The 10,215-nt window shown below is 49.6% G+C and overlaps 1 annotated feature.

Annotated features, from left to right (window-relative positions):
• Positions 397–603: a silencer, noted in NCBI's record as "fragment chr18:8438111-8438317 (GRCh37/hg19 assembly coordinates)". NCBI's record gives its function as "represses an EF-1alpha promoter that drives an FKBP-Casp9 reporter gene in an ReSE screen in K562 erythroleukemia cells {active_cell/tissue: K562}" and the evidence as "EXISTENCE:reporter gene assay evidence [ECO:0000049][PMID:32094911]".

Here is a 10,215-nt window from a genome sequence, read left to right as displayed (position 1 = left end):
TATAATGGACTTCAGAGACTCACAAGGGGGAGGCTGGAAGGGGGGCTAGGGATTCAAAACTATACATTAGGCACAATGTGCACTACTCAGGGGACAGGTGCACTAAAATCTCAGAATTCACCACTGTCTAACTCATCCATGTAACAAAATCCACTTGTACCCCAGAAGCTACTGAACTAAAAATTAACTTCAAAAAATCTTGATAAATTAAAAAAAAAAAAAAGGAAATGTGAGGTTCTGGGAGAGGAAGAAGCACTTTTCCTTTCTCTTCCCTCCAGAAATCAGCACCAAAAGAGGAGGTCAAGACCATTAACAGGTTCACACTGTGTATGGCTACCCAGTGTAAGTGCCCCGTAATTCCAGGGAGTCCTTTGACAAAGACCTCATTGTGCCTGGCCCTTGACATTGGGCAGCCCTGATGTGGAGAGGTGAGTTATATATGGCAGATGAGCAGCAACTGTTCCTAAGGTAGGGATGGAGTTAGTGGCAGAGTAAAGACATGGCCTTGGGTTCAGCACCACCAGGCTGCAGTCATGATATCCTAGGACAGCCACTCAACCTTGGTAAGACTTTTAGCTGTGTGTTCATGAGAAAGCTACTCTCTCCAGTCCTGGTTTCTGCAACTATTAAAAAAGGACATAGGACTTGATCATTTTTTAGGTCCTATAAGCTCTAAAATTATACACCTTTGTACTTCGACTTTATTCATCTACTCACTTACTTATTGACTCAGAGGCAGATTTACTGCGAAGCTAATGAAGTTGAAGCCTCAGGGTCCCTCACTTGCACAGGCCCCTTCCAAAGCCCTGTCTTTTATGTCTCCATAAGTTCAAGTGGGTCCTCCACATTGTGTAAGCTTCAGGTCCCACAAAACCTGGGTTCATCTATGCCCTCTCTAAAGCTTTATTAAGCAGCCGTGTTGAGACATTGCACCAGGCTCAGTGTGCTAGCTCCTGTGTGAACGGCTGCACCACCTTGAGCAGCTCACTCCCTGCTCTGAGCCTAACTTTTCTCATCTGCCAAACCCAGGCCGGTCTTTTCTCATCTGCCAAACCCAGGCCAGCGTGAGGATTCCACGAGGAAGCAAGTGCAAGGGCACTGGTGCTGAGTGGTCCCTCCAGCACTGCTAGTCCATCCCCATCTGCAGGCAGAAGGGAAAGCTCTTGGAGAAGCTGGTTGGGAGGTGCACCATTTCTCTGTGCAATGTACTCAGGGCTGCAGGAAGCAAGATGCTGAGCCAGCACCTGGCTAATATGTCAAAGGGTTCTGGAATTAGCAGAGGGCAAGAGTGGTAGATTGGGGGGTCTGAGCACCCCAAGTTGAGGGAAACAGAAAATTCCGCAGAGGCTAAGATTCCCTGCTGGGAGAGGGTGGAGGGAATTCCGGAGGGAGGAATAGAAAGTGGGATATCAGGACACACTGCTAAGGTGGAGAGAAACCCCGTGTCACCATCTCATTGATGATTAATGAGAGCCACACCCTCATCAAGAAAGAAGACACAGGGAGGTGGCAGCCAGAATGAAGAGGGGGCTCAGGCCAGCAGCGGTGCTTCCCAGGCACAGAGTGGGTCCCTGGGTCACCCTTTGGGTGTGAGGGGCCATGAGAAAATATTTTGCTGGGAGTCGTGTCTGTATGACTAGTATGATTAAAATGTATTTAAAAATTCGTGGGTCCGTGTGAGGTCTAGTGGTTGGCTAATGAAGATCTGGGATGATGAGAGAAGGCCTACTTACCTATGTATTTATTGTCATCAGCACACAAGAAAGTTCTCCGAGGTGTCCAGGCAGCATCTCTCCATGTTCTTTATTGTCAAGTGCGCCATTGCTGGCTAAGCTCATATCTCCATGAGACAAAAGCAGTAACACTGTCATCACTCACCACATGGTGGCCTTGGAACCTGTTTGTACTGAAACAATGTAGACCTGGGACTGTTAATGGGAGGCTGTGGCTGCATCATCACTCCTGAGGCTGCTGCATCCAGGCACTGCCCTTGTGGTAAGGGTTGAATTGTGTCTCCCCAAAAATGTCACCTTATTTGGAGATAGGGTCTCTACTAAGCTAAAATGAAGCCATTGGGTGGCCCCTAATCCAGTATGACTAGTGTCCACATAAAAGGGGAAATTTGGACACAGACTCGCATGTAAGGAGAACATCAGTTGAATGCAAAGATGTTGCCCTTAGCTCGGCCTTGGGTAAGCTAAGCTCTGTGACCTCAGGTAAGTCACTCATTCTCCCTGAACTTCAGTTCCCAATCAAGGAAAAATCAAGAGGAATAACCTTACCATTTAGTGTAGGGGGCTGAGAGTGCACTGCCTGAGTCTGAATTCTGCCGTCACCTGCTGTCGATGACATGCTGGCATGCTACCTAGCCTTTCTGTGTCTCGGTTTCCTCATCTATAAGGATAGAATAACAATAGTACCTAGGTATATGGTTCGTGAGGACTCAATAGTGAAGGCAAGCGAAGAATCAGACACGTAGCACACAGCAAGCACACACTCAAAAGGTGTCTGTGACTGTTATTGTTATGTGGGGTGGCGTGTGGGATTCCAGGTGCTCTGCAGGCAAGCACTCAACACGGTGCCTGGCACGTGGCAGGCAGGCAAAGGTGGGCCTGGAAGGGCCTCTCGCCCACCCCTCTTGTCTAAAACGGTCCACCTCTAAGGGAGGTTGGAGGGGGAGACCAGGCTCTTGAAGTGAGCTTCCCAGGGAAGGTCATCAGAAGTCAAAAAGACAAATCAAGTGAGAGAAAAGTAATCAAGTGAGAGAAAAGTAACCAAGTGAGCAAAAGAAAAGAAATCAATGTCAGAAATGGCAACAAGGACAGAAAAGCATCTACGATGTATCAGATGAGTGGATGGAATGAGAAAAGACAGGAGATGAGGAAGGGAAGAATAAAGAGACGGGAAACCCAGACAGCTGTGAGCAAGGGCCCTGGAAAAGGGAGGACAGGTGTGCAGCGTCGTGCCGCTTGCCGCCTGCTGACTGAGGACATCTGCACACCGGGTTTGCATCTTCTGTCCTGCCTGGTGAAACAGGAGGAGTTTGGGCATGTGATGAAGGCGTGGCTCACTTCTTCCATGTCCCGCAGCTCGAACCCCTAGAGGGGGCATGCAGACAGGCAGGTCGTGGGGAGCATGGGCTCTGACCCTATGGCAGCGTCTAGGGTTGAGTGTTTACAGCTCCCGAAGCCCCAGTGGGCGTGTGTTACAGTGCACTTTTTCAGCTTAGCGGTTCACAGGTGGCTTGTGTTAATCAGCTCAGTTAGACCCTCTGCCTTATCACAAGGAGAGAGGGCTTTCTGTATCCTGGGGTTCTTGCCTTAGCGTACCAGAAAATCAGATGACACATGGGCTTGGAGAGTGAGTGCAAGGTTTTATTGAGTGGTGGAAGTAGCCCTCAGCAGATGGATGGGAGCCAGAAGGGAGATGGAGTGGGAAGGTGGTTTTCCCCTGGATTCAGGCCATTCAGCAGCCAGACTCTCCTCCGACATTCCCCGGCCGAATTCCACGCCATCCGCATGGTTCTGCTGTCAATGGCTTGCTGGAGTCTGCCAGTGTGTTCTTCTGTCGGTGTGTTCCTCTCAACGTCCAGCCGCTCATGTGTGTGCCCGCTAGGGTCTTGGGGTTTTACAGGCACAAGTTGGGGGGCATGGTGTGTCAGGGTGGTCTTGGAAAATGCAACATTTGGGCATGAAAACAGAAGTACCTGTCCACACCTAGGTCCATGGGCACAGGCCAGAGGGTGGAGCCTTCATCAGGGACCCCGCCTTTCTCTACCTAGCACTTCCCTGCCCCGCTCCCATATCACTGGGAGCTTCCATCAAGCCCCCTGCCCTGGTGACCTCCCGAGGCAGGGGACAGGTGAGCCAGAAATTGGCACTTCAGAGAGAACCTGTAAGGTGGGTCTGGGCTCAGCTGTACCAGGAGGAGACGAAAATGCTTATCTGCACCTGCACCTCGGGAAATCAAGGCTCTCTTTTTCCAGGAGTCACATTAGGGAGGAGCCAGCTGGATGCAGGGGTTGGCATTGCTCCTGACGCCCAGGCTCTCCCCTGAAGGAGAAGCATAGTCCTGCTTCCACCTTTCTCGTATGTCATTTAGGGTATAATAATATGAGCAGGTACATAATGCCAGGCAGGGCTCTAAACGCTTCACACAAATTAATCCATTTAAGTCCCTCCACAACCCTATGAAGTAGATGATGCTCATCTCCTTCAGCAGAGGGGAAACAGAGGCTCAGGGAGGGAGCTACCTGGCTGAGGTCGCTCAGTCAGCGGCAGAGCTAGAATTCAAACCTGGTCACTGGCTCTGCGCCCCTGCGTACCATGGCAATCCTCCCTCAGGGGCACGGCCCTTTAGCTTTATTATTGCTGTTTTTAAAAAATTGTATTAGCAGTTCATTTATTTTACACCACAATAAATTGCTACTATTTGATGGGCAGGGAAAACGGATTTCTGTGCCTCTGTAGTTTAGGGCGATTACTTGTTTGATTGAGATTTAATGAGTGGAAATAAAAAATGCTTTGTGTATATACATTATCAGGTAATATATATTCAAAACAGGATATTCAAAGTTAAACATCTGCTAAGATACATTAATTTGTGTGGGAACGTTATTGCCTTGTTCTGATATGAATTTACTGACAAAATCCATCACTCCATAATTTACAAATTGGCTTTGATGTTCTGGGCAGCAGCCTCCCCCTAGAATTGATGAAATGTATTATGTGGCATCAGTGGGCTAAAACGCCATTAACCATGAGGAAGATATGAATTGTAGCAGAGCCCTGGGTACAATGATAAAGTCATAAGCACGTTTTCTGCTTGTTGATGGAAGAATTTATATTGGCAACCCGTCCTTCACAGTTAGCTCTGCTCGGCTCTGCCAGCCAAAGCGCCTTCCCCACTCAGAGCCCCCCAACCCCAGTTTGCTCCCCCCGCTCTGAGGAACTGGATTTCAAGTCATACCACCTATGTTGTCACAACTGGGTGCACACCGAGTGTGCTGCTGTGATGAGTCTATCGCAGCAGGCAAGCTCACCACGGAGCTGGGGGCCACCTTCTAGCCCCTCCAAGGTGGCAGGGCCAGGGCGGGAAGAGCCCTTTCCACCACTGTGAAAACTTCAGGAACGCCACCCTTGTGCTCTGAAGGGACAGCCACGCGCCCGGTGACCTGCTGGAGGCACAGGGGCTCTGTGGTCCGCAGTGCGCCTCAACCTCTTTGCAGGAGGCACTTGGCCGCCCGCGGAGGGTGAAGAAGGAAGCTTGGGGCTGCTCTGGCCTTCCTTCCATGTGTGGAGCCAAGGCCAGACAAGGAAGGCTCAGAAGGGCATCCGGAGCCTCTGCTTCCTGGAGACCGCACTTCCCTGGGAGGATTGATTTGGCTGGACACCTGCCTTCTCTTGAGCCAGAGTAAGGACCGCATTTTTGGGGGCTCGTGGCCCCCCAGCCAAGCATGGAAATAAAAGAAAATCCTAAGTTGCCTTCAAGATAAATTCCAGGCACCTAGCTAGCCCTGAGAAGAAAATGAGCAACTTGAAAGCAAGAAAGTCTTAGTAGCCTAAAACAATAGCCAAGGAAGTTCAAATCCAGAAACCTGGACCCCCACCCCGCCGCCGAGGGCCCTCACCAAACAGATCCATTGGCAGGCAGACCTCAGATGAGGGGGAGCTGAGGACTGAACCCTGACGGCCGTTCTTTCTTCTAAGTTTCTTCCTGGGGAGCTCCCACTGCCTCCCTCCCCAGCCAGTTAACATTGTTTTGGCAGATCCTAAAATTGAAACGAACTTTGCCCCCTGAACCAATAGCAAAGACCAGTGTGTCCCCTCCACCTGTTGATTTACAACTGTGCCCGAAGCATCCGCTTTCCTGCGGCACATCCCTGCCTGGGAGAGCCCTTGCCCGCAAGCCATCGGGGAGGCCAGGGCTGAGCAGAGGCTGCTGGGCCTCCTTGCATGGTGCCCTGCAAGCAAACACCTTCCTTTCTACCGCTACAAAAGCTCAGTGTGGCTATCTGGTTCTACTGCGGCAGGTGCATGGACCCCAGCCTAGTTCAGTAACACTCAGGAGCATCAGGCCCAGGCTTCTGCGCACACAGCGAGGCGTGTAGGGCCGGTGTGGCTTCTGTGAGGCACCCTGGTGCCATAGGGCACTGTGGAGGAGCAGCAGGCTTCCTATTCCTTCCACTTAATTAATCTAGGGGAGAGTGGAGAGATGGGGATCGGAGTCAATACTTTCTGTCACTAAAAGGGTTTGCCCTGAGTTACTTACTTTTAATGTGGAAATGGGATGTATTCTGGTTGGTAGAGTGGAGGTTAGGGGTTCTGGGGTGATCATTTATTGGCAAAATTCTAGAACAGGGCACAGGGGTTTACATGCTGCTACAGAACAGGTTCATTTGGAGTGACAGACATGTCACTCATTTCCCTCATCTCCGTTATAAATTTTAAACACTTGAGTTGATAGCATAACTACTGTCTGTTAAGTTCTTGTTAAATGCTTTTCATATTGGATCCTTTAGAATGCTTTTGGCTGCAAATGATAGAAAAGACACTTGAAATGTGTTTAAATAAAATAATTTTTATGGCTCACATACCTGAGTCACTGTAGGGATCAGATGTGGTTTGACAGGGGCCCTGGCTCCATTTTCCTCCTCTGTCCTCCTGTCCTCCTCAAAGGCCAGCCTCTTTTTCAGGCTGGCTTCCTGGTAGCCAAGAGCTCCTGGGGTTACTTACCGCCTTCATAGACACAGTCGACCCTCTGGATCCACAGGTTCAGCATCCTTGGATTCAACCAACTGAGGACCAGAAAAAAATAAACAACAATGAAAAATAACAATCCAACAATGAAAAATAATACAAATGAAAACTCAATACAGTATAGCAACTATTTACATGGCATTTACATTGTATTAGGCATTCTAAGTAATCAAGAGATAATTTTTTTTTTTGAGACAGAGTGTCGCTCTGTTGCCCAGGCTGGAGTGCAGTGGCGCCATCTCCGCTCACTGCAAGCTCCACCTCCCGGGTTCATGCCATTCTCCTGCCTCAGCCTCCAGAGTAGCTGGGACTACAGGCGCCCATCACCACACCCGGCTAATTGTTTTGTATTTTTAGTAAAGACGGGGTTTCACAGTGTTCGCCAGGATGGTCTCAATCTCCTGACCTCATGATCTGCCTGCCTCGGCCTCCCAAAGTGCTGGGATTATAGGCGTGAGCCACCGCGCCCGGCTGTAATTGACAGATGATTTTAAAAATACAGGAGGACTGTTGTAGGTTACTTGCAAATACTACCCCATTTTATATCAGGAACTTGAGCATCTTTGATTTTGGTATCCTCAGGGGTCCTGGAACCAACCCCCAGCAGATACCAAGGGATGACTGTACTATACCATCAGGGCAAAAAGGAATTTCTCTTCCCCAAACCATCCGAGTAAGAGCTGAGCTTTACTCTGACTAGACCAACCTAGGTCACATGCCCTAGATCACATGGTTGGGATTAAGCCAATCAAGCCCTGACCTGGTCAATGCCACCCAAACTCCATAGTAGCTGCACTTGGGAAGGATGCCACCGAGGCAGCTATAATTAAGAGGGTCTGCAATGCATGCACTTTCTCATTTAATCCTGCAGCAACCCCAGACATGGTGATTCTTTTCTTCCCTTCTCAGGCGAAGCGAAGTAACATGTCCAAGGTTACCCAGCTTAGGAGTGAGAAAGCTTGGAGGGAATCCATATCTGTGACTCCCCAACGCATGCCTTCGGTCTCTGTCTTACTGCCTCCCATTTTAGAGATGAGCAAGTGTGACAGATTGAAATTAGGGCCGCTGTTTGCCAGTGTGTGGTGGAAATAGGCTGGAATTACAGGGAAAGAGGCACTGTGAAAATGAGAAATGGCAGAAGAAAGACTGAGGGTTGACTCAGGGGAGAAGTGCTGAAAGACCTGTCAGGATGGGGCTGGGTGAGAAAGTGTGAGGGCAGAGGCCAGTGCCACAGAGTCTCTCTGTGAAATGGAAAAGCCTGGGAAGGGGGTGCCTATTGGCATTCTCAGAAGAGAATAGAGCCAGAGTATGGGAGCTCGGATGGCCCGTGCAATGGGCAGGTTAAACTTGAGTGCTAGGAATTAGACCCAGTAGCAAATGACCATATTTCACAGAAACTAACAAACCATTGATTCTAAGATGCACTCATTTTGTGAATCACTAAGAAAAGCATTTCCAATAAAGCTGAAACAATGCTTTATATCACTTCAAGTTTTTCTTTATATTTACTGAAAGATCTCTTTTTGAAATTCATAGACATGGATTGTATCATGTCACCCTCGTACTTACATAAAATTGAATAAATGAGTGAAATACATTGGTGGGGGTCTTTCTAAAATTTTTTCTCTATTCCGCATTCTTGTGCAACTGTATGGCTCTTGTTTTGGGCTCAGAGCATGGGCCTGTGTTTCCCCTGGTGACTGGGCCGTAGAGTGCAGTAGAGCCGTGTGTCTCTTAGAAAGCTGTTTCCGAGATTTGGTGATCTCTTGGCCTTTGGGTTGCATTTCTAGGTGTATGATGGACAGTTCCTTCTCATGGATCACTCTTTGTGGTGTCTTTCTTTGTCAGGTTCTATAAAGCCCTTGGTTATGACTTTGCAAAAACCCCCATGAAATGGAAGTGAGAAATATTTGCTTCAATGACATCAAAGGTACACCCTGATGCTCTGTGTACATGCTCATCAAACACACAATATTTTTTCATTTCAAGGCCAAATCACACTGTAACATTTTTGAGGATATTTTAAAATAGCAATTAAACTCTCCATGTGTCGTCCAATAATGCCCATTAAAGTGACAACCACATGAAACACTTTGATGGGGTAAACACACGCTTCATTAATGATGATGGCAGCTTTTTATACCTGTCACCTGCCTGACAGTGATTGTAAGGAACATCCCTATCAGAATCCTAAAATGTGCATCTTTCAGTGGACTCAGTATTGGCAGTTACCCGCCTTACACATAATCAATCATGTATTTACCAAAGATGGGTGAGGGCTTCCCAAGGGGAAAGAAGAGGCCATCAGTGGGTCTAGCCTGCACATTCAAATCACCTGGGGACTTAAAAAATGCCCGGGGCCCAGCCTCCATTTCCGGAGATTCTTATAATGATGGGTCTGGAATGGGGGACTGTTTCCAAAGCTCCCCGGGTGATTTTAAAGTGCCGCAAGGGTTAGGTGTCAGTTGGCCATGAGGTTCCAGGGTTCCTGGGAAGGGGGAGAGCCCCCATCAGGGCTGCCCTGAGCGATGGCTTCATCTCTGCCCAAGTGCTGCGGCAAAACCTCAAAAGGAGCAATGTGGCTGCAGCCCCTTGGGAGTCCCTGACCAAGGGGGAAGGGAGATTGTCCTTGTCCCTCACTCTGTGGGACACTCAGGTGGAATGGCTGTCCCAGGCGTCCCGTGCTGCACAGGCCCCAGGACAGGAGGGTTTAGGTTTGGTTCTGGAGCTCTGCCCTCTGCAGGGAACCAGGCCCCAGACATTGTGCTCCTGGTCTATTTCCCTCTTCCCACTTCACCCTTCCACACACACAGGGACCTGTGTCCACCTCCAGGTGCACACACTTGAAGACCCATGTCTCCCAGACGCATCATCTTCTGTAAAGATGCCTGGATATCAGCACACACATCCTCCAGCACACTGCCGCACGTGGCATCTCAGCTGAGGCTCAGCCTCCAGCTCTGTGTTATATCTGTATTTCCTGCTCGGATATGGCAAACTTATCTAAACACTCCCCATCCTCAGTAGACAAGTCTGGCTGATCCTGGGCTCTTGCAGCTGAAGCTGGATGGCAGCGGCCTCCATGGCCCGTGCAACTGGAGCTGCCCTGAGGCAGAGGTCGGCTGCCACCCATAGAAGCCCCTTCCTGGGCAGTGACACACAGTCATGTGCGGTCTAATTGGAAGCTAGGGCCTCCTGGCTCCCTGACTGATTCGCTGTGCTGGGACGGTGGGAGGGGGTGTGTGCTTAGGTGGGGTTGGTGGGCTGGGGCTAGAGCTGCCAGCAATCAGAATGGTCAGGGCGCAGAAGGCAGGTACTGGGAGGGACTCCCATTTGGAGGGGGCATTTCTGCCTCTTTCCCCAGCATGCTCTCCCCTGCATGTCTAGAGTCACCAATCCCCTCTGCAGCCAGAAGGAGAGTCCCACACTCAACTCCTGGCCTCCCATGCTTTTTGGA

The sequence above is a fragment of the Homo sapiens genome, chromosome 18, assembly GCF_000001405.40.
Source record: "Homo sapiens chromosome 18, GRCh38.p14 Primary Assembly".
Classification (NCBI taxonomy): domain Eukaryota; kingdom Metazoa; phylum Chordata; class Mammalia; order Primates; family Hominidae; genus Homo; species Homo sapiens.
This window is presented reverse-complemented; position numbering and strand designations above follow the sequence as displayed.